The following is a 24989-nucleotide window of genomic DNA, read 5'->3' as shown; positions in this document are numbered from 1 at the left end:
ATTGTTACCAGTCTTTGGTTTTTACAAGTGATTAAGTGATGAATAACCTTGTACTAGGTCATTTTGAAATGTGTTAGGGTAGAACTGTAGGATAGAGTCTCAGAAGTAGAATCGTTAGGTCAAAGAGTAAATAGAACTGTACCTCTGCGAGGCTGTCCTTCCCTGGGGTTGTTATGTTTACTCTGGAAGTATTCTTACTGGCCATGTGTCTTGGGGGTCCTAAAGAATAGTGAATGATCAATGTCAGTGTGATTAAATGCCACTCTGAAAAAAGATAGGAAGTAGGGCAGGAGAGGTGAGTATAGCTGAGTTAAATACAGGAGGAGGGCTACAGGTGGCTTTGCCAGTGTTGATGTGAAGTAGGAAGGGGGAGTGTTGGAGAAGAAGTGGGAGGGGAATAACTTTGATCTGAGAGTAAAGATGGCATGTGGGGTAGCACATCGGGTGCAGCCATGGTGGAGGGGCGGGGGGTTCCTGCTAGACAGAAGCAGGGACAACTGGCATAACTGAGGAAGGTTCCAGGTGGTAGAGGAGATTGACTTCTTCATTCCTGCATTAAGGAATTGGGACTTGGAAGCAGTGGAGCACTATTGAAAGATTCTAATGAATCAGCCCTTTCCTAAGCACAATGGAGGTGTAAATGCTGTAGGGCAGCAGTCTCCAACCTGTTTGGGACCAGTTTAGTGGAAGACAGTTTTTCCACAGACCCAGGGTTGCGGGTGGTGGTGGGGGGATGGTTTCAGGAGGGCCTTACATTTATTGTGCACTTTGTATTGTTATTACATCGTAATATATAATGAAATAATTATACAACTCACCATAATGTAGAATCTGCGGGAGCCCTGAGCTTGTTTTCCTGCAACTAGGTGGTCCCATCTGGGGGTGTTGGGGAACAGTGACAGATCATCAGTCATTAGATTCTTATAAGGAGTGTGCAGCCTACATCCCTGGCATGCACGGTTCACCATAGGGTTTGCACTCCTATGAGAATCTAATGCCGCTGCTGATCTGACATTAGGTGGCGCTCAGGCGGTAATGTAAGTGATGGGGAGAGGCTGTAAATACAGATGAAGCTTTGTTTGCTCACATGCCGCTCACCTGCTGCTGTTGGCCCAGTTCCTAACAGGCCACAGACCAATACCAGTCTGAGCCCCAGGGGTTGGGAATCCCTGCTATAGGGGATAATTCCGGCGACTGGTTAGCAATGACATTTCAGGGAGTCTTTATTCTATCTTGCTAGAACAGGCCTTCCAAAATGCCATTAAAGCACCACACAGAACAGTTCTCTACAGACTTTTTTCCCTCCACTACCTTGGTCTGTTACTCAGGAACTCAGGCCTGGTTGCCAAAGCAGACAACAGGCTGCTACTGCGGTTCTTCTGCGTGGCCTCTTTCAGTGGAAACTGGTTCCACCCATCATTTGTTTTGTATTTATGTTGGCAATCGGGAGGGAGTTTTCCCATTTGGAAGCATCTCGATCCGCTAACATTAGGTCAGGTTCCGCCCTGCTTTATGTTTATTACCTTCGTTTTGTCCTGTAGACAGGAAAGGTTGATGAGATAAGGACATTTCCCAGCCTGAGTTGCACTTGCCCTCGCCCAGCTCTGAGTGCCTACGGCTGTGTCTGGCCAGCAGAGGGCAGCATGGAGCTCTGTGCCTGCTGTGAGCCCCCTGCTTCTTTAACCTTTCCTTTCCACAAGATTTCTCCTCGGCTGACTTTGTAGAAACAAAACAAGGAAAGGTCATGTCATGTATCGAATCTACAGAGATAACATTTGTGTTTGCTTATTTACAGATTCTGAAGAAAAAGCAAAGACTGAAGACTTTTCAATTTATTTACTTTATTTTCACAGAGTGAAACCCTCTTTTTTGGAATACTTAAGTTACCTTCTCAATTTCATGAGTGTCATAGCTGGTCCTTGTAACAATTTCAAGGACTACATAGCCTTCATTGAGGGGAAGCATATACACATGAAGTTGCTGGAGGTGAACTGGAAGCGAAAAGGTTTCCACAGCTTGCCAGAACCTTCTCCCACAGTAAGTTTTTAGTGTCTAGAGAATAGGGTTTTGCTGCCAGGGTTGACTCTCTCTAATAATGGTTCTAATTAAGAAGCCAAACAGTTTACCAGAAAGCTTGGCCAATAACTTTTCTCATTTATTTAAAATACCAGTATAGTTACTTATTTGCAGCAGTTCTATTTTGCAGCAATGGGTGTTTATTTTACTGAGAAGCTCATTGGCTAGGAAAATGAAAGCAGTCAGTTCATCAGTCAATATTTAGTGCATACAAGGTGTCCAGCACTGTGGAGTTAACACGTTTGAATACTATGGGTGTTTTGCCTTTATGAGTTGAAATTCAAGTACAGCCAAAAGATGATATGGCATAGAAGGTGAGGGGGAGGGGGACCACGGAACTGGAATTACTGTGTTTTTCTTGTAGAGCTCACTTATTGCAAGGGAAACCAGTTTTACCTTGGCATGCCTAAAGCTTGCTTATGTTGACCTTGAGAGAATTTAAGATGACTTTTTGAAATAATATTTTAAAACTTAACTGAATTTTATCAATCTCTAATTAGTCAATATTAGAATAACTCATTGAACTTTACAAATATGCTCAATTTATTCAGGTCAAATATCCTATATTTAAGGGACATTTGTAATTAACGAAAGGAGTGGTGAAAATTGGAAAAGGAAGGAAATGAGGATAATTCAAGTTAAACATTTTGAAACTGCTAACGCCTTGGCAAAGACTATGAGTTAAGTATTTGAAAACTTAAGGGATTTATTAATTAGGTATGAGTTTTTAGATATTTTTGACATAGTTCAGTTCTCAGCACTTTATGGTTGGTCAAGTATCTCAAGTTCATCTGCTTTACCAAAACGATCTAGGAGTGAAGTCACCATGGTTGTGAGAGACACCAAAGTGACAGCATTTCTAGGCAGTATCTGTCACCTTAGTGTTTTCACGCTTCTCGTGCTTTTATTTATAAGGTAATGTCATCAGAGAGTCTTTCTGCCACTCTCCAAGGAAACACTTGCATTTTTGTGCACAGATAAGGTGAAGTGGTGAGGTTGCGTTTTAGTTCAAGACATACAGCTGGGAAAGGGCTGGGATCCATGAGCTGGTGCCTATCAGTGGTATAGCTGTAATTGTGGCTGAGCGTGCTAAGCACTTAACTGGGATCCAGGCACTGTTCACAGGACCTTGCAAATACTCATTCACTTAAACCCCAAGGTGCCCTCTGAGGAAGGTGCTATTGCTATGCCCATACTACCAATAAAAGTCTTTTTTTTATGAAGTCGGAGACTAGAGTTCTGTTGAATGTTGAAGGACATTCCTTGAAATGTCAGGGGAGCTAGGCAAAATCACTCTGTCCAGAGGAATTTAAAAAGTCAGCACATAATTAACCCCAGAGTAGACTATATCTAAACCACCCTGGAAGGCTTTCTAGAGCTCCCCATTACCTGCCCATGTCCTGGCTGGCCCAGGTATTCAATCACTTGCTCAGAATCCTTCGTACCTGAGCCTCTGTCTTCCCTACTGGTGATTCAAGCCCATTTCCTGGGCTCTGCTGGCCACAGGAATAGAAGGCAAATGTGCAAATGTTTTTTGTTTTTCTTGATGGAAACTTGCCACCCTGTTATCCATTTCTCTTGTGTTTTGGATAATATAAGTACTTACATTTTGTTCGTTGAATATGCTGATGGAAGTTTTCTTCCAGTCTAGATACATTCAACCCCCAAGTGTCAGAGGCATGTTCTGTATCTAAATATAGCACCTAATCTCCATTGTCAGATTTGTCTCATGAGGAAGAATGCCTGTTGTCACTCCTTCTGGGGAATAATGCCAAGCAGCTGTTGGAGCAACGTTGTCCTTAACAGGTCCATTCCAAAGCTGTTTTCTTCATACCTGAGCCTTCTGCACGGTGACACTGATTTTTCCCCATTTTCAGGGAGCTGTGATACACAAGTTGGGCATCACCTTGGTGTCTCTCCTTTTGTTTTTGACGCTAACGAAGACCTTTCCTGTCACCTGCCTTGTGGATGACTGGTTTGTCCATAAAGCAAGCTTTCCGGCTCGACTCTGCTACTTATATGTTGTCATGCAAGCCTCAAAGCCCAAGTATTACTTTGCATGGACATTAGGTAAGTTTGATGGAGTAGCTGTAACTGAATGAGGGAAAAATGCTACTGCTTGAATGGCTTAGCCAGAACGACGTTTTGGATCACTTCATCAAAGAAGCTCAACACGTAATGGGAGGCAGTTGAGTCAGGGTCAGTTTTAACGTACCAACATAGCACTCCTCTCTCCCACCCTCCATAAACTCAGTTCTCCATGATAAGGAGAAAAACACCCTGGCTGTTGTTTAAACCCAATGTTATTAGCAGATGTCAAAACTTGGAAGCTTCTCCTTCTACCAATCAAAGTTGGCCATGTAAAGCAGTGGAAAGTTGAGGGGAAATTCTGGAATGATTGATCTGGCTTTCTTTTTTTTTGACATGGAGTCTCACTCTGTCGCCCAGGCTGGAGCGCAGTGGCACGATCTTGGCTCACTGCAAGCTCCACCTCCTGGGTTAATGCCATTCTCCTGCCTCAGCCTCCCAGTAGCTGGGACTACAGGCGTCCGCCACCACACCCAGCTAATTTTTTTTGTATTTTTAGTAGAGATGGGGTTTCACAGTGTTAGCCAGGATGGTCTCGATCTCCTGACGTCGTGATCTGCCCGCCCTGGCCTCCCAAAGTGCTGGGATTACAGGTGTGAGCCACCACGCCCAGCCTTGATCTGGCTTTTTTGTAGTTTTTCTGGGTTTTATGTAATATAGGATGCACCTTGAATTAATTTGACCAACACACATGCTAATTTAGGTTACACTTCTTTAAGGAACCGTTGTTAGGTTTTTATGTCTTAGAAAGAAGCTGACTTCAAGTGATTTTTTTTTTTTTTTAGGTAGAAAGTTCAACTTCACTTGGTTTTATCACACCTTTTGTTTTTTCCTGTGGGATAACTTGGTCTATATTAAGCTTTTATCTCTTTCCTTTCAAACAATTTTAGACTGCAGTTGCATAAAGCTTTACTAACATGAGCTATAAACCCATCTGTATACTTAGAGACTGGGAAAGGGTGTTGATAAAGTACGGAAGCCCTGTCTATGTCACACTGGAACCCTTTCAGGGATGGGAGTTGTGTGTCTTAGCTGCAAGCGACCTGCGCTTGATGTCAGAGAGCAGTGACTTGGCTTATTAAATAAAATAGAAGATTAAACTTGGTTTCTGAGGGTTCAGCCCACATCTCACGAATGAGGGAATAGCACTTAATTCCTTGAGTTCCTCTTCTCTCTCAGTTCATCCTTCAAGTTTTAAGTTCCAGTTAAAGTTTGCAGGTACCAAATTACTTTTTTTTTAAAAAAAATTATAATTTTTTTGGCTGGGTGTAATGGCTCATGACTATAATCCTAGCACTTTGGGAGGCTAAGGCTGGCGAATCACTTCAGGCCAGGAGTTCAAGACCAGCCTGCCCAACATGGCAAAACCCCGTCTCTACTAAAAATACAAAAAATTACTAGGAAAATCCCAGCTACTGTAATCTCAGCTACTCAGAAGGCTGAGGCATTAGAATCACTTGAATCGGGGAGGTGGAGGTTGCTGTAAGCCGAGATCACGCCACTGAACTCCGGCCTGGATGATGGAGCAAGACTCTGCCTCAAAAAAAAAATAATTTTTTTTTCATTGTGGCAAAATACATATAAAATTTACCATTTTAATCATTTTTGAGGGTACACTTCAGTGGTATTAAGTTCATTCACAATACTGTGCCACTATCACCACCGTCTATCTCTAGATCTTTTTCATCACCCAAACAGAAACTCTGTACCCAGTAAAAAATAACTCCCCATTCCTTCCTCCCCCAGTCCAAATTATTTTTAAGGGCCAAAATGTTCCTGCATAAGTTCAGTCCAATGCTGTATTTATGTAACATTTGGCTGGAGAGATCTGACTTAGAGCTTTTGTAAAATTTACAATGAGGGAAATTTTGTTTCTGTACACTTTCAATTTAATTTGAGGAGTTTTGTACCAGATTCTGTGCTAGGAGGAATCAAAAGGTAGGACGTTGACTCTCCCTCAAGATTGTTGCATGGTTGGGAGCACAGACATACAGCCACCAGGCAATACTCTTCAAGCAGTGTCCCAGTGGGAGGAATAAAGAGAAACGGATGAATACAGACTGGTCACTAGGGAAGGTTCAGTAGTCTTCTTTTATCTTATTTCTTGTTCTGCAGTTACAAATGATGACTTCTTTAGCAGGTAGGCATTAGACCTGCTATGGTTGGAAGCCTACTTACATCACTGACCTTATTTTTTCTATGTGAAATATATATATATTTTTTTGAGATGGAGTTTCGCTCTTGTCACCCAGGCTGGAGTGCAATGGTGCGGTCTCGGCTCACTGCAACCTCCACCTCCCTGGTTCAAGTGATTCTCCTGCCTCAGCCTCCCAAGTAGCTGGGATTACAGGTGCCTACCACCACACCCAGCTGATTTTTGTATTTTTAGTAGAGACGGAGTTTCACCATGTTGGCCAGGCTGGTCTTGAACTCCTGACCTCAGGTGATTCACCCGCCTCAGCCTCCCAAAGTGCTGAGATTACAGACATGAGCCACTGTTCCTGGCCAAATAATTAATAGTTTTAATTTCCTCTAATCTGAGTGAATGTGTATGTGTGTGTGTGTGTAGGGGACAGAGAGAGAGAGAGAGAATATATCTAATTCCCTCCTACTATCTTCTGCTGCCTCACCCACCTTCCTTTTCTCTTTTCTCTTCCTATCCTCCTGCTCCCATTTTCTGTATCCCAGGGCTTAAGGGCTAGCTTCTGGACTAAATCAGCTCCTGATCTCAGGAGGAAAGAAAGGCCATTCCATTGCATAGGGAAAGTCCAAGACAAGAAAGGACCTGGACTGGGAAGTGCCATGGGAACACAGAGCACCTGCACTTTTCTACCCTTCGGGGAGTTCCCCAGACATCTGCAGTACAGTGTAGAGGTACCCCTTCCTGTGGAGAGCTTTCTCTGTGGACTTAGCTCTTTTACTCCCCCCCATGCTTCCCTTTTCTTTGTCTTTTTTGGGTAGCTTCAGTAGAAACACTTGATTAATTTGTATGGCCTCAATTTGAGGTTTGTTACAGTTTAGATTGCACGGGCTGGTCTGAAATTAACCTTTGTCTTATTTACGAATAAAGAAGCAATGAATAGTGTATCAGGGAATATTTAAACTGCTTAACTGAATAATTGTTTTCTCCAGCTCCCTTTAAAACACCATTTACATATAATTGATGTACTAATTACACATGATTATAAATTTAATCCTTAAAGCTGGCCTCTTGATGAATCTCCACTGAGCTGCACTGTGTTAGCCTAGCTCTAGATACTGTTTATATTCAAATAATCAAACTATTTCTTTTGGACTTAGTGTATGGTCCTGGCTGTTTTCTCCCTGCTACTTAGTACTAGTACTAGTTAGTGAGACTTAACTTTAGTCCAGGCTGTTTTCTGAGGACCACATAGTCCAACAGATGGGCGTACAAATTAATTTATCTGTAATAATAGATTGGAACCATGCATAGTACAAGTAAAACCATTTTTGGACTGGTGAACTTAGAGCCTGTTACTGCTCTGAGACAAAAACCAGGCTTGGATAAATGACTGTGGGATCACTAGGGAGAGTGGGGATTCCGATATCGGCTCAGTGTGGTTCTGAGAGTCAGTAGTTGGGAACCTTTCACCATTTTCCTCTTTCAGCGTGGCTCTTACCTGCTCAGGTTGTGGAATCAAGTTCTAGGATTGAGATTCTGGCATTGTTGACAAACTACATGTTTTTTTAAATTTTTTTTTAGATGGAGTTTTGCTCTTGTTGCCCAGCTGGTGTGCAATGGCGCGATCTTGGCTAATTGTAACCTCCGCGTCCTGGGTTCAAGTGATTCTCCTGCCTCAGCCTCCTGAGTAGCTGGGATTGCAAGTGCCCGCCACCACACCTGGCTAATTTTTGTATTTTTAGTAGAGATGGGGTTTCACCATGTTGGCCAGGCTGGTCTCGAACTGCTGACCTCAGGTGATCCGCACGTTTCGTCATCCCAGCGGTTACATGATCTTAATGGTTACCTAATATCTCTAGCCTCAGTCCCCTTAATAGCATAATAATAATAATAATAGCTAACCTTTCTTGAGTGTTAACTTGGGCCAGCACTGAGCTGTCCACTGCACACATATTTAATTTTGTTTAATCCTTTCAACAGCCCTTTAAAATGAATACCATTATTATATCCATTTTATGCTCAAGGGAGCAGGTTTTTAGACGTTAGATGATTCTTCTCCTAGGCCCGTGTATGTAGTATGCTGCCGAGTGGAGGTAGAAACCTGTCCAGTTTCCCCCCGGAGCCCATCCTTAACCTTCTGTCTCAACACTGTTAGGAAGATTAAATGAGGAACTGCCTGTAAAGTATTATATAGAGTCCTGGAAAGATAATAAGCACTGAAAACACACACACACACACACGCACACACACACACACAGAAAAGATAGTTATCATTATTCTCTTCTCTTAGGTCTAACCAGCTGTGCCAGAAATGAGGCTGGAGATGGAAGAAGGAATTTAGAAGTAGTTATGATGCTGGTCCCAGTGACGGTCAGCCTGGCTCTGGTTTTAGTTCTCAACACAGACCTCAAGGCCCTTAGTGTCATTGATCTCTGTCACTCACGAATTAGTTCCCACACAATTAAAACCATTAGTTTCTTACAGGTACACCCTCACTTTGTTTGTCTTTTTCTTCTCCACTGGGTTCCCATCCAGTTGGCGACGGGAGAATGACATAGAAGGACTTGGTCTCTTTCATGCTTTCTTCTAAAAGAAACCAGATCATCTTACAGTGAAGCCAAGCGTAAGATAAGCAGTGTTAAATCATCATCTCTGCCAAATATAAATGAGACAGACGTAGGGCAGGTTGTTTTTCTTTAGAGCAGCTCTTCAAAGGCCATCTAGAGTTGGACTTTTATAGAAAAAGGAAGATTTCTCTAAGATCTCCAGATCTAAGATTTCACAGTGCTATCACTTAATTATTTTGATTAGTTCATTTTAATTTTTTCTTAGAAAATATTCTAACAGATTTTAAAATAAGTAGAAAGAGACAATTAGCCTCTTGGTCATCATAATAAAAAAAGTGAGTTGAGTTCATTAAGGAATTGAATAGAGATGAAATATTCCCGGCAGGAGAACATTCTCTTATAGTTCAGTGGCATAAGATAAAGATAGAAACAGGAGCTTTTAAAGGGACTTTATGGGTGGCTGGCTTGGGTGATTTTATCCACATGTGGCCTCCATTGCAGCTGGCCCCAGAGTCACATTTCTAGCTCTGTCCTTTGTCTTGGGACCTAAACTTTTTTTAACCCCATCTTGGCAGCTCCAACTGATACACTACCGGCGGGTCATGCTTAACATGTCCACAAAGAGCTCCAATCACTCTTGCGGAGCCGGTTCTCCTCCTGATTTAGCACTGCCTCTTAGGTAATGCCCTGCTATCTTTAGTGACAGCTCTGAGACCTCTTCTGGGTCCCTTGTTTCTTCTTGTCTCTGTATTTGAACTCAGATCTATTCTTACCACCTTTCTTTTCTCCCCTCCTGTCAAGTTGGTCACTAAATTCTACTGTTTATTTATTCATTTCGGTTCTTCGTTTCTTGTTTATTCTCATTTCTGCATTCTATGGACATCTAGCTTCTTTCCTCTTACCTTAGCAGGTGTTCCCTAAATGCAAGGGAATGAATGCATAAAAATCAAGGTTACCAAACAGCCGAATATGTTTTTCTGATTCAGAATGTTAGCAGGTCCTTTACATTTTGGGGTTCCTTTTCCAAAGACACTACTGCATATTTCTCCATCTTGAAGCTAGACAGATATTTAGTGTCTTTTAAAAGCAGCAATGTGACTTTTGTTCCATATCCTAATGTGTTACTTTAAAAACCATAGCTGATGCAGTGAATAACGCAGCTGGCTTTGGGTTCAGCGGAGTGGATAAGAATGGGAATTTCTGTTGGGATCTGCTTTCGAACCTAAACATCTGGAAAATTGAGGTGAGTGTATGCTTTTAAGTCCAACTTCCATAGTGAAGAAAGCAAATGATTTGCTTTGAGTGTTGTATCCCCAGAATGCTTCATCCATGTGTCCAAAGAAAAGCTGCTCTCAGGGAATTGCCAGGCTCAGCAGCCTACTGGACATTTTGCATCTCAGAATTGTTTTTTTCTGTCTTTTTTTTTTTTAAGATATCTACTTTCTTGACAGTTCTAATGGTTCAAGGAAGAATGACACAAAAACATCTGAAAAAGAGCCCGGAAAATCTTTTTGTTGTCTACATTTCTGCTCTTTCAACTAGAAAGTACCAGTGTCATCTCTCTCTCTTCTCTTTCTACCTATTTCAGTGACGAATGTAGACTGGAAGCTCCTGTATTTTGATTTCAATATTGCAAACGTTCTATGTGGTTCCTTTGGAGGCATTTATAATCCATTCACTTGTAAGAAGAATTGTCATAATGTACAACTTTTAGGCCACTAGAATAGTGTGGTTTTTCTCTCTGTCTTCATTCTTGCACCACAATTTTTGGTCTGCTCTCATTATCAGAGGTGGCTCCTTGGGGCCACATCATTCTGGATTTTCTTTGCATTGCTAGCTCTCAGAGTAGACAGGAATGCCAAGTCTCAGATCCTTTCCCCCTTGCAGCTGAATGGGAGGAGGGGCATGATTCTCAACATGCAGAAGCGTTGCATTCCTAGCCAGGTGATTCATGTTTGCTGTTGGTTTTGGTTTTCCACCTGCCACAGGGCAGACAGAGTCCACTGGAGAGTTTGGGCAGGAGGGGTTGTATGTGTAGAGCAAGAAGCCAGAGATAGTAGAAACTGACCACCTGCCACCCACGTTGGGTGGAAACTAGGCCAGAAGGAGGCATGGGGGAAGCCCCCAACATCTTTTGCCTGAGGCTTTTTGCATGTGGACGGCCTCCAGAGGGAAAGTGATCTGCATTTTAACTACAAAACATGGTGGAATTTATAGGGAGGATTATATTTTCACTTTTTTTTTTAGCATTGAGACAGCACTACTTCAAAAGGCAGACAAGCAGAAAGAAATAGAAGCATGCCACTGTTATCTAAGTAAATTACATCATATATTCAACGTAAACTCATCATGCTATTTGGTTATTCAGGTCAATCAGATTCAACAGATATTAATTGAGGGCCACTGCGGGCAAAACACTCATTTTTGTATAGTCCTAGAGGATCTGGGGTCTCCTGTGGGTGGAAAGCCTTGGCAGATGCTGTAGGAGCATGGGCAAGGTCCAGCATCAGTTCTGAATGAACAAATAATGTTTTTACTATTGGTCGCTGCTTGTGAGGCAAGAAGCAGTCCCCGGTCACGATGGACCACATTGTAAGTGGACAAGGTCCAGCTTTCAGAATGACCTGTCTCAGTTTTGGAAAAACAGTATACATGATCCGTAAGCTTCTCTTTTTTATATAGATGACGTCAGAGAGAGTTCAAGTGTGTTATGACTTTCCCCTTTTTCCCACTAAGATTCTTCTCTCCTTCCAAACTCATGGACTGGCTGCCTTGGAGTTTTGTTGGGTAAACGTCCTTTAGGGTGGTCCCCTTGACCTTCGGCTGCCTACTAGTCCCCCTAGCTATGTGCCAAAAAACAGAATCCTTCCACAGTGGACATGTCTTCAGGGTAAAGGACTAAGTCATTAAGTTATGTGCTTATTATAAAAGAAAACCAGAAAGAGAAAGTTTACATTTTCATCATACATTTGATATAGAATAAGGAGCTAAAGAAAAACAAGGAAGTCTGATTGGTTTAAGACACCCTGAGGCTGGGCTTATAGCATTTTATTAGCAGAAGAAATAGATAAATAAAACTCCTTGAAGTTTTGAAATAAAAACTCACAATAAAAAGATCTATTTTACATCTATCTATCTTCCTTCCTCCCACTTTTCTCTCCCTTCCTCCTTCCTTCTGTCCCTTACAAACATATTACATTAGGCCAATGTGTGGCCTATATATTATTTTCTTACGGTTGAAAACACTTCAGAAAAAAGTGGCACTTAGACTTTCTGCCTTCTTTAGGAATTCTGATCCTTGTATGTTTGCATCACGGTTATTTTTATTTTTATTTTTATTTTTTTTTTGAGATGGAGTCTTGCCATGTTGCCCAGGCTGGAGTGCAGTGGTGCGATCTCAGCTCACTGCAACCTCTGCCTCCTGGGTTCAAGCAATTCGCCTGCCTCAGCCTCCCGAGTAGCTGGGATTACGGGTGCCTGCTACCAGGCCCGGCTAACTTTTGTATTTTTAGTAGAGACTGGGTTTCGCCATGTTGGCCAGGCTGGTCTTGAACTCCTGACCTCAGGTGATCGGCCTGCCTCGGCTTCCCAAAGTGCTGGGATTGCAGGCATGAGCCACCACGCCCGGCTGCATCATGCTTTTTATCACTAGAACTTGGATAAGACCTTTTTCTTTTTTTTTTTCTAATGAGAAAACCCAGGTAATGGGTTATTGTGGGATGTCTCTTCCTCGGTGGTTGATTTGCTTGCGCCACTGCCGGTTGGGTGATATTTGTTTCCTTTCCTGTACTGTGATGCCTTCATGCATAAAATCTCTTACTATTCCAGAAACAATTGGAAACATTGGAACCTGAGTAGCTATTTATAGAGTTAACTGCACAAGACTGACCTAGTTTTAGAGGGCTACGCAGTGAAAAGATGACGATTAAATTTAAGCTGTCCCCATAACGGCACCAAATTCCCATGATGAAACTTTTCCTGGGGCAAATCCCTTTTTAGAATATTTAATTATAAAATTCAGATGGCTTAAAAAATTTTAACCAGAGTAAAAGGGAAACCCACAAAACTTTCCTTCAGTTTTCCTGTAATTTGAAAATACATGTTGAAAAAAAATTGAGACTTCGCAAGACAGGTTTTAGTTGCAAAGTGGATCTTATAAACAGCAGAAAATTGTCCTGTGTAGGATGGAACAGCTGACTTGCTCTCAACTGTGAGCAGTCACTATTGAAATACAGTATCTAACCTGCTGCCAGGGAAACTGGGGAGAACTTTCCATTACTTCGGGTATTTTTAAAGCTAATGATAGGTGTTATTTTCTTCTTTCCAGACTGCCACAAGTTTCAAAATGTACTTGGAAAACTGGAATATTCAGACAGCTACTTGGCTAAAGTGGTAAGAAAAACAAAAACGACCTCATTACTTAGGGCACTGGGATATGTTCAGAGGGGAGTCAGTAGATGAACAGTGGGAGTCTGCCTGTGGCAATGTCATCTGACACTCTTGTTTTGTATTAACATCTGTGCCCTGTAAATGATAAAGTAGAAATACAGTGATTTGAGAAGGCCATAATGTGGCATATTTATTTTATATCCCTGAATGCTGCCATTCCTGTATACCAGGCCCTGGTTTAATCCTCCATCAATCTCATGATATGTTGGGGGTATTACCCCCATTTTACAGATGAGGAAAGTGAGACCCAGAGAGGTTATGTCACTTGCCCAAAGTCACCCAGTGAAGGGATAGATACAAGCTCAAATGGTCTGGTTTCAGAATTAAATTTTTTTTTTTTTTTTTTTGAGAAGGAGTTTCGCTATGTCGCTCAAATTAGAGTGCAATGGTGCAATCTCTGCTCATTGCAACCTCTGCCTCCCGGGTTCAAGCAATTCTCCTGCCTCAGCCTCCCGAGTAGCTGGGATTACAGGCATCCATCACCAAGCCCAGCTAATTTTTTGTATTTTTAGTAGAGACGAGGTTTCACCATGTGGGCTAGGCTGATCTCGAACTCCTGACCTCAGGTGATCTACCCACCTTGGCCTCCCAAAATTCTGGGATTACAGGTGGGAGCCACCGCACCCAGCCCAGAATTAGATTCTTGACCTCTCTGCTGTGCTGCCTCTTACCTAAAGGGAGAGTCTATTGCTCAGATGTCAAGGAAGGTTAATGCCTGCATCAAATCACCGATGATTGCAGTGTTCACCCCTAGCAGTAAATGCTTTATGGTATCCCAGATGTTTATGCTTTTAAAATTTATATTTTTGTTGCTATTTCCCTATGCTTTTGTTTTCCTACATGTTCCAAAATTTAAAACGTTATTTACTACAGAAATAATAATATGCTGTCCTTGAAGCAGCAAGCTCTTCTACCTAGTGATATGCCTATCATAATGAATACAGGGAGAGTATACAAATATTAAGCTTTGAAGCAGATTCCACTGTTTTGATAAGCAGCATCTTTCATGGGTCAAAACACTGGGGTAAGGGAAGAGACAGAGTATGTAGTAATTCCTCCAAAGTAAACTCATGCAGTATTTTCTGATAATTGATCTGAACATAGTCATCTTGAAATTTTGGCCTCAACATTATTGCTATTAATAAATTTTGCAAATGATTTTAGCATAAACTTCCATTTCTATACACTGAGTACTCCCAGTGTGCTGAGTCATCCTGTGTCCAAATGGGGTCTCAGTCCTGTGTTCATCTCTCCAACTGCATTCTTTTTCTTCCTATGAAGAGAGCACCATAGTGCTTAGTTTGTGTTTAAATCGGTTACTGTTGACCACCCATACAGTGCTGGGTTGGTGTTCACTGTTTGAATTTCAATTTTATTTTTTATTTTTTTATTATTATTTATTTATTTTTTATTATATATTTTTATTAATTTTTATTTATTTGACCTCTCATTTAGTAAACCAGGTGGTGGCTTCCTTAGAGTGCCGTTGGCAATTCATAGACTGAGTTTTGGGGGGGAATTCCCTGTCACTTTTTTTAAATAAACAATCAGAATGCCAAAAACCCTCAGGGTATTTGCTGACATTTGCTAGATTGTCACAGTATCACTCTTTAAGGCAGATTCATGGATTGAAGTCTGATGGACACTGTGAGACCTGAAGAGGTCACATAACTGACACATTGATTTTGTGATGGAGTCATTGCCAAAAGGGATGAACAGGGTGATGGTGCTGATTAGGTTAGATGGCACAGGAGCCTGGTGGGAAAGGTAAATTAATTTTTACTAAATAAGGATATTCATTTCTAAAGACCCTGATTCCGAAATTGTTAATGCCAATGGCACTTACTTAAGCACCCCCAGTAGATGAGGCCATTGGTGGAGTAAGCGTCTGTAAGGCAGGAACTCCTGTTGGGTGGAAAGTGATCACTCAGACCTGTAACAGATACAGTGTGATGGGTCCAGATCATTTAGTCTATGGAGGTTAAAAATGTATAACATCCCCTCAAAAGGCTGAACTGTGAATTGCCTATCTGGTAATGCTTAAGGAAACCAGGGTAGTCCAGGCTGCTTGGATTGCACTGCAAGTCCCCGAAGACGGTTAGGGAGGCATCTCATCAGTAACAACCAAATGCTTTCTGCATGGTCTTATCCAAGAAACAGCAGCTGTACTTAGAAGTTTCTGGTATGTTTCACCTGTGTCTTGTTCCTTCCTCTCTTCACAGTGTGTGCTATCAGCGGGTTCCATGGTACCCCACGGTGCTAACCTTCATCCTGTCTGCTTTGTGGCATGGTGTCTACCCTGGATACTATTTTACCTTCTTAACTGGAATTCTTGTCACATTAGCAGCTAGAGCGGTAAGTGTGCTTTAGGCCTAGGGTCTTTCCCCTTAGTAATCTGATGCCTGCATGTTTGTTATCTGTTGGGTCCTAGTAGGGGTTGGGGGTGGGATGTGAAGGTGGGAGTGATGTTTTGAAAAATCAAACAATATGCAAGAGTCTTCCCATTAGAGAAATACTTCAATATGTAGGAACCTCTGGAGTCATTACAAAAATGGTTAACCATTGTATGTTCGTAGTTCGTGAAACAAAAGGAATTTTAGGGACAATGTTTAGTACCCTAAGAGATGAAAACATTTTTAATTGTTAAAGTCTGTGAACAGTCTACTAATTACAGATGATGATGATTATTAATTAATGTAGGCACCATAGGACTTCAATTTGCTTATACTTTGCTTAATTTCTCATTTCATTGCCCCGAGCCTAGAAATAACTCACAGAGTCTCTTGAGCAGTCAATGAAATAGCGGCCACGGGAAGTGAGTCTGTTGGAGGTTAACCTCATGTGTTCACACGCCCAACGCAGTTAGCTTAGTTTGTGTTTATGACTTTTGTAAATTTGGTTCTCTAGGATTTTTCAGGAGCCTGTAGTTTCTCTAGATTGTTCTGCAATTTGCTTGTTGTAGAGCAGGATAATAAAGAATAAAACTCTCCTCCAAGAAGGAGACGAACATGCATAGAAGTAATTGCGATTCAGTGCTTTCATTGCCAAATACAGGAGTTTTGTATTTAATTTTGTTTTAATCTTTGATTGTGATTGTGGTCTTCCTTATTTCTGATGCCAAGAGTTTTTATTGACGTTGGTTGAGCCATATTTTGGATGTGAATTCAGGAGCCCCCACATAGCTATCCACTCACCCTTTAATTCATTTATCCTGTGAAGATTTCAGGAGCCCTACTGTGTGCTAGTCAGTGTTCTAGGCGCTGGGATACCACAGTGAACAAGACAAGAGTCCCTCCCCTGAGGATCTCTTGTTTTAGTTAGACACAGGTGTGCTGGAATATATATATATACATATATATATGTATATATATGTATATATATATGTATATATATGTGTATATATATGTATATATATGTATATATATGAACAAAGTGGATTACTGTTCATGCTGGCTAGGATACTTTTGAAATTAAGTGCATATTGTACATATTTGTACATAGAAAACAGGGGAGACATTTTCTTCTCTCCTGTTCATGTAACTATTTAGATTATAAAAGAAAACTAAAGAACAAGTGGTCAGGCCAAATTAAGAAATAAAACTTAGAATTCTGTTTGCTAACATATCCAGAGTATTATTCCCTCAGGTGTCTTTTACTCTATGGTTTCAACTGGCATAAAGGCTCAGATCTGTGTAGAGCTTTTCTTTTGGATGGCCTGGAAACACTATTCGCAAACGAATTAGGTAGCGGATAGAGAGGAGAGAGTTGATAGAACAGTGTTTTTATTTTGTCTGGAAGGAGATTGAACTCAACAGTCATAAAGTGTCTTCGGGCCCTAGAAATGACCCAGTAAAATCTCATAGCTGATGTGCAGCATTGCTTGATGGGTGGACCCCGGTCTCTGTCCTGAGGAACTTAGGGCTGAGAGGCAGCCTTGGGCACTGATGCATCTTCTGCTTTGGGGCTGACCTGCCTATCCCCTAGCCATTGCTTTCAGCTCTGCCTTTGACCTGAATCTGGAAACTGAGGGTCTCTCTAGAGGCAGGTCTAGTCACATGTGCCACAAGATCTACAAAGGAGTATATCCTTCGACCTAGCAATTTCCATTTCAAAGAATTGTCTCTTTACCTAAGTCTCAGTTTATTTATCTGTAAAACGGGAATCATGATGCTAACATAATAGGCTTGATGAGAGAATCAACCAGAGATGAGCCATGCAAATCATTAGCACAGGCTTGGCACAGAGTAAGCACTCAGCAAATGGTAGCTGCTTGTATTAGTAGTAATAGTAATATTATTTGTGTTATCATTACCTGAAGGAAGTAAATAGGAAACAGAGCAGAGATTTATTTACAAGGATATACATCACATAATTGTTTATAATAGCAAAATGGGATGGGCAGACAAGCTAACTTTTCCAAAATTAACTTAAAATTATACTGGAGATTAATATTTACTGGCATGGAAAAAAGTGCATGATATATTACTAAATGAAAAAATGAGCTAGAAATTATATTGGTGTCATTAAGAATATTAACATGGATACATATGAATAGAAAAAGCTTGGATGGCTCTGTGCCAAGTTTTTAAGTGATGCTTTCCTTTGGGAGGTGTTAAAAAAGAAAGAAATTTTTTTTTTGTTTGCTTAGTTGTTTGACCATTTTTCTACAGTGAACACATATTATTATTATTATTATTATTTTAATAAGAAAAATTGGCCAGGCACAGTGGCTCATTCCTGTAATCCCAGCACTTTGGGAGGCCGAGGCAGAAGGATTGCTTGACCCCAGGAGTTTGAGACCAGCCTAGGCAGCAAAGTGAGACCCACATCTCTACAAAAATTTTTTAAAACTTAGCTGGGCATGGTGGCATGTGCCTTTAGTCTCAGCTACTTGGGAGGCTGAGGTGGGAAGATCACTTGAGCCCAGGAGTTTGAAGCTGCAGTGAGCTATGATTGCATCGTTGCACTTCAGCCTGGGTGGCAGAGCAAGAGTCTTATTTAAAAAAAAAAAAAAGAGTCCTGGGCCGGGCGCGGTGGCTCACGCCTGTAATCCCAGCACTTTGGGCGGCCAAGGTGGGCAGATCACAAGGTCAGGAATTCGAGACCAGCCTGGCCAACATGGCGAAACCCCAGCTCTACTAAAAATACAAAAAATTAGCAGGGCATAGAGGCAGGTGCCTGTAATCCCAGCTACTTGGGAGGCTGAGGCAGGAGAATCACTTGAACCCAGGAGGCAGAGCTTGCAGTGAGCTGAGATTGCGCCACTGCACTCCAGCCTGGGCGACAGAGCGAGACTCCATCTCAAAAAAAAAAAAAAAAAAAAAAAAAGTCCTGATGGTATTTGTAGTCGAAAATACAACTCAGATGTTGGTTATCTTCTGTAGCCCATGTTCCTGTGGCATACTATCTGCATGCACAGAGTAAAAGTTGTTATTTGTTTTTCACCCCCTCCTCACTACTGTTGCCTGTGTTGGCCTGCAGGTCAGGAACAACTACAGACATTACTTCCTTTCTTCAAGAGCTCTCAAGGCTGTGTATGATGCAGGCACCTGGGCCGTCACTCAGCTGGCTGTCTCTTACACGGTAGCACCCTTTGTGATGTTGGCAGTTGAACCGACCATCAGCTTATACAAGTAAGTTTCCGTTGTTCTCAGTTGCCATCTCGTAAATGACTCTATTTTCACTGTGTTTGACTTAGGAGGCAGTAAATTGAATGAAGCAGTCCTAAACACTTCTAACTGGGGCTTCAGTGTGGGAAGTGTCCATAGAAGCTTTAAGAGGAAGTGGCTGTCCTGGAGACACCAATGTACAAATTCCAATACATACAAGCACTGTTGACAGGAATCCCTTAAGCCATTCAGAATGTCATCCAGGGGCCCCCTCATGGCAGTATATTTTGAAGGGATGGACCCTGAGTAAAAACTCAGAGGGTAAATTTGCTGCCCTTAGCTCTTTCTCCTGGGGGGTAGGCTGTACTGGGGACTATGACGTGTTCTGAGAGCAGGACAGAAATGGAGGCAGGAGCGGGGGATGCGGCTGAGGCTGTCATTGCCTGATCGAGTGGTGTGCAGAAGGACTCCCTGGTGAGGCTGATGGGGGATTTATGTTGCCAGTTGCACGTGTTGGAGGGGTATATGTGGAATTGAGGCTGGAGGAGGAGGAGGCTCGCACCACAGACCAACCTTTATAGTCAAACACCTGTGCTCCAGGTGAACTGCAAACCTCTAATTGCTGACTTTTATTCTTTCACAGTTATGTGTAATGAATTGTATTTCTCCACTGTTGTGAAGTGGTTGAGCACATGCTCTTGTGAACTGATTGTGTGTGATCTTTGACAAGTTGTTAGCCTCTTTTACCTGTGTTTTCTCAACTGGAAAATGAGGCTGAGAAGAAAATTCACCTCAGAGCACCGTCTTTAGTACTGAGTGTTAGAATTAATGAGATAAATGTGCAGAGGGCTCTGGCCAGTATCTGGCATATAGTCTGTACTCAATAAATGCTACCTTGTATTATTTAATGAGTTGCACAGGCTTTTCTAGGTTAACTTTGGAACATCGTATCATTTTTTAAATAGTTACTTAGAAATAAACAGTGCAAACACACCTTCTTCCTAAGTTGGGAATTCCCTATAGCCGATGGAGGGGTCATGAATGGATTGAAGAATTTTTTACTACTCAATATGTGTATCAGTGTCTATAAGTGGGATGATTTTTTTGAGGCTATAGAAAGAGAAGGTTGAGGGAACCATATAACACTCATCAATGAAGTCCATGCTGTTACAATATATGCTTTTATACTAGGAGTTAGGTGATAAGAAGTTATGTCAATATAACATGGAAGCTGTACTGGTTTATACCCAAATTTTTCTATGCAAAGGGGTGCCAGAAGAGTGGGAAGAGAATTATAAGCTTCAGCCAAAAAGAAGCCCTCAGTTCAGCTGCTAGAGAGGTAGGAGTCATTTCAGTCCTAGGTGAGAAACCCAACATGTGTGGCCATTGAGCATTGGAAATGCAGCTAGTGGCACAGAGAAACCGAATTTTCAATTTTATTGAATTTTAATTAATTAGACTTTTAACAGCCACGTGTTGCCAGCGATTATTCCAGATTGATTACACCTCAAACAGGAGCCCCCTTCACTGGGGCTCCCTCCTCAGAGAGGCGTATCCCCAAGCCAGCATTCTGACTGCTTCTGCCTCCTTGTGCCCACCTAGGGCAGCCCCACATGCTTCCGGCTCCAATTTCATTCCCATTTGTCCATGCCCTCAAGCCAACATTTGCCCTTTTGTCCTCTACATTTTTAACATGCCCGGAAGCAGCCTTTGGCACCATTGAGCTGTCTGCAGGGGCTGTCCAAATTGTCTCCTTTAAAGCTCTGTTTTTGTTACAGAGTCCTCCTAGGTTTTGAATTATCTATTTCTAACATGCTTTTTTTTTTTTCCTGTAAGCCCTGGTATTCTAAGCCCCTGATATTGCCTCATACAAGATTTTTAAGGAATATATTGATCATATTATAGCAGAAGTGCCTGTATTCCACTCAGTATCACGTAATACCTGTAGTGTGCTAGGCATTGTGCTAGAATCTGGAGCTAGAATGGAAAGCAAAATAGAGAGATCATTTCTGCTCTCACTGGGGTGATAGCTTGATGGAAAAGACAGGGAGTAATTGACACATGTATAAATACATGCTGAGATCATACTCTGAGTGAATGGTATAGAGTTTTAAGAGAGTATGTAACAGGAATCTGCCTCAGCCTAGGCACTGGGGGCATCTTTTTGAGCTCAGTCCTGGAGGTTGTGCAGTGGGAGTGAAGCAGGCTCAGTATGTGTGAGCGCGGTGGGCAAGGAGGGCATTGTGGGCCATGCTCCAGACTTGGAAACAGCCTGGAAAAGCCCCGTCATGTAGCCCCCCATAGTGTAGCACGAAGCTCCGAGCACTGAAGACCAGAGAAACGTGAATGTGGGCAGAACATAGAATCCAAGGTGGAGGGAGGTGAGCTGAGGAGAGCGGTGGGGTAGGTATCAGTGTCCCTGTTTGTCGCATGAGGAAGTGGAGACTCAAGAGAGGGTGAGTAACAGAATTTACACAGCAGCTAAATGTTAAACCTGAGTTTCAGACTCAGTATTCCCTTAATAGCAATATCAGTAGTGGAGTTACTAAAAAGTTCTTTAGGAGAAGTTATTTTGGATGCAAACTACTGCTTGGGGATCACAATAAGTGATTTGCTAGTGATAATATTGTGTTTAACCAACTAAAGCATAACAACTAGGCGTAGGCAGGAACTCAAGGGGCAGAATTAAATTATCAAGTAGCTTTTCACTTCTTTTTAAAATCACCCCAGAATATTTTTTTAAAAACACCTTTGTTTAGGATGAAACAGGAGTTGACATTTTTTGGGTCAAGTAGGCCTATTTTAGATGATCCAACCTAGGATATTTTCTGGTTTCTAGTTATTTATTGAATTTAAGTTTCCTGTCTAGATCAGCTCTGTCCAATAGAAGTTTCTATGATGGTCGGGCGCGGTGGCTCATGCCTGTAATCCCAGCACTTTGGGAGGCAGAGGCAAGTGGATTATGAGGTCAGGAGTTTGAGACCAGCCTGGCCAGCATGGTGAAACCCTGTCTGTACTAATTATACAAAAAAGTAGCTGGGCATGGTGGCATGTGCCTGTAGTCCCAGCTACTCAGGAGGCTGAGGCAGGAGAATTGCTTGAACCCGGCAGGTGGAGATTGCAGTGAGCTGAGATCACGCCATTGCACTCCAGCTTGAGTGACAGAGCGAGACTCCATCTCAAAAAAAAAAAGGAGTTTCTATGATGACGGAAATGATCTACATCTGTGCCATCTGAGATGCTGGCCACCCAACATGTGTGGCCCTTGAGGATTTGAAATGCACCTAGTGGGACAGAGGAACTGAATTTTCGATTTTATTGAATTTTAATTAATTAGAATTTTAACAGCCACATATTGCCAGTGGCTATTCCAGATTGATTACACCTCAAACAGTGTTTTCATAATCTTTTAAGAAAATCCCTGAATCTGGCGAAGAAATAAAATTGCGTAGCTTTTTAGTGAAGGCAGGCCTGGTTGCGTTCCAGATCTGTTCCTCCCCTTGGGCTAAATTCAGTAGCTAGCAGTAAACCACAGTTGTATGCAAACCCTTTTCTCAGTAGATCCTCATTGCTTAACATTGAAATTTCACTTGTACTTCGTTGTTAGGTGTAGTCAGTGTTCAGTCTAGAGTGGCTTCAGATCTCAGCCTTAGAGTGCTCAGTCTAACTTCTTTAAGTTGTAAATGAGCCCAAGTGAATACTTAAATATATTATGAAAGAACCTTTCTATGAAATCATTTTGCAAAGCAAATTCACATACATCATTTTGTCTTGAATTGGATAACTCTTTCTTAAATTCAGTGGGTAATAACGTTAGAATTTGTTTTTCTATTTGTTTTTTGAGTTGGGGTCTCCTCCGTTGCCGAGGCTGGAGTGCAGTGGCGCGATTGTGATCTCAGCTTGCCCCAGCCTCTGCCTCCTGGTTCAGGTGATCCTCCCACCTCAGCCTCCCACCTCAGCCTCCCGAGTAGCTGGGATTACAGGCACGTGCGACCGCACCCGCCTAATTTTTTTATTTTTGTAGAGATGGGGTTTTGCCATGTTGCCCAGGCTGGTCTCAAACTCTTGGACTCAAGCAATCTACCCACCTTGGCCTCCCAAAGTGCTGGGATTACAGGCCTGAGCCACTGCGCCTGGCCAGAACGTTAGAATTTGCGTAGAAACTTTCGTAGATGGCAAACTCCTTGAGAGCAGGAACCCTGCCTAATTCATCTTTATATCTGAGTCCTTAGGTCAGTGCCTGACATGATCAATAAATGTTAGTTTAGTCTTTCCATAATAGATGAAATATTCCTTAAAATTGTAGAGAAATATGAAATGTCAGAAGAGGTTACTAAACCTTACTAGGTGTTTTCCACTTGATGTTCAAAGTAGCTGGATTTTACCTAATGTAATTGTTCCAGTGTAGATTTGGCCACATATGAAAGATTAAGGCAAAGCTCAAGAACAAAGTATGACATATTTTGGATGTGCATATTTTGAAAGCTGGAGTTACCTATGGCCAGGGTGTGCCCATGAGAATCCCAGTCTATACCTGTTAAATCACCGTGTTTATCTGTGGAGCACTTTTTCCACTCTCAATAATGTCTTGGTTTAGACAGTAGATTAGATGGTCACTTGCTGTTGCTGCTTACCCCTTCCCTGGTTAAACAGCTGTTAATGATGTGCTTGTCTTGTTTCCATTCTCACATGGGAAGGGGTGGAGGCTGATGCCTTTTTGTAGATCCAGTTTATTGTTTTGCATATCCTAAGCAGTAAATGCATATTGAAAGGATAAATGAATGCATGTATGTTTGCTTCTGTTCGAGCTCTTCACTATTCTATAAATATTGTCAGGGAGGCATTCCTCCTGCTAAAGGATGGGGAAGTTTAGGGGCATATGTGAGTTATCTGATTCTAATGTGCCTGACCTTGTAATCACAGAAGTTGGGGAATGATGCATAAATCAATTGTGCTTTCCTCCCTCCCAACATTATTTTCCTTTATTCTTCAAAAAGCATTAGGGAAAGTATAAGTTGAACCTTTCCAAATGGATCTAGAACAGTTGTGCCAATGCAGCTGTTTCTAATTACTTGCAGGTATTGATAGGCCCAGTATTTATTGGATATCTACATTGTGCATACTGCTGAATACTACACTTTGCAATAGAAGTCCACAAACATCAAAAGCAAAACTTGTTTTTTTTATTAGTTTAGATGACAGTTATTTTTAGGGTTATGGACTGGATTTTCAGAATTGGGATTCTTCTGGCTCATAAGACACAAAAGAAGAACCTTTTATACTTGAGTAGAGCAATGGGTTAAAGTGTTAGTTGCATTGTGTTTAAGGAATAGAATACAGTCATACGTTGCTTACCAACAGGGATATGTTCTGAGAAATGCATCATTAGGCAATTTCATTGTTGTTTGAACATCATAGAGTGTACTTGCACAAACTAGATAGTATAGTCAGGCTACTATATACTGAGGCTATATGGGATAGCCTACTGCTCATAGACTGCAAACCGGTACAGTATGTTACCGTACTGAATACTGTAGGCAATTTGAACACAATAAGTATTTGTGTATCTAAACATAGAGAAGGTACAGTAAAAATCTGGCAAAGATAAAAAAGGATACACCTGTATTACCATGAATGGAGCTTGCAGGCCTGGAAGTTGCTCTGGGTGAGTCAGTGAGTGAGTGGTGAGTGAATGTGAAGGCCTAGGATATTACTGTGCACTACTGTAGACTTTAGAAACACCATACACTTAGTCTGTACTAAATTTATTAAGAAAACTTTTCCTCAATAATAAATTAACCTTAGCTTCCTGTAACTTTCTTTACTTTATAAACTTTAAATGTTTTAAAAACGGACTCTTTCATAATAAAACACTTTGGTTAAAACAAACATGGTGGCCGGGCATGGTGGCTCATGCCTGCAATCCCAGCAGTTTGGGAGGCTGAGGTGGGTGCATCACCTGAGGCTGGGAGTTCGAGACCAGCCTGACCAACATGGAGAAACCTTGTCTCTACTAAGAATACAAAATTGGCCGAGCGTGGTGGCGCATGTAGTCCC

At 41.7% G+C, this 24989-nt stretch overlaps 1 protein-coding gene across 5 annotated transcripts in view, besides 1 other annotated feature; it reads left to right on the top strand.

The window, feature by feature from the left end:
- Window positions 1-24989, top strand: part of MBOAT1 (membrane bound glycerophospholipid O-acyltransferase 1) — a 112786-nt gene that overhangs the window by 83916 nt on the left and 3881 nt on the right. For 3 of the 5 annotated variants that reach the window (NR_073465.2, NM_001080480.3, XM_006714999.3), the window contains 6 exons: window positions 1854-2037; window positions 3954-4146; window positions 10014-10117; window positions 13202-13266; window positions 15546-15678; window positions 18805-18956. Coding sequence is in view for 4 of the 5 variants with exons in the window: in NM_001080480.3 (NP_001073949.1) it covers window positions 1854-2037; window positions 3954-4146; window positions 10014-10117; window positions 13202-13266; window positions 15546-15678; window positions 18805-18956 (831 nt within the window). In the remaining variant the exon portion in view is untranslated. Of the gene's footprint in view, window positions 1-1853; window positions 2038-2627; window positions 3300-3953; window positions 4147-10013; window positions 10118-13201; window positions 13267-15545; window positions 15679-18804; window positions 18957-24989 lie in introns of those variants that run through there. The other 2 variants (XM_011514313.4, XM_006715000.5) reach the window with 2 other exon arrangements.
- Window positions 1543-1670: a silencer, noted in NCBI's record as "fragment chr6:20127115-20127242 (GRCh37/hg19 assembly coordinates)". NCBI's record gives its function as "represses an EF-1alpha promoter that drives an FKBP-Casp9 reporter gene in an ReSE screen in K562 erythroleukemia cells {active_cell/tissue: K562}" and the evidence as "EXISTENCE:reporter gene assay evidence [ECO:0000049][PMID:32094911]".

This window comes from Homo sapiens, chromosome 6, assembly GCF_000001405.40.
Source record: "Homo sapiens chromosome 6, GRCh38.p14 Primary Assembly".
NCBI lineage: Eukaryota > Metazoa > Chordata > Mammalia > Primates > Hominidae > Homo > Homo sapiens.
Note: the sequence above shows the minus strand (reverse complement) of the source record. Positions and strands in the feature narration are given on the sequence as shown.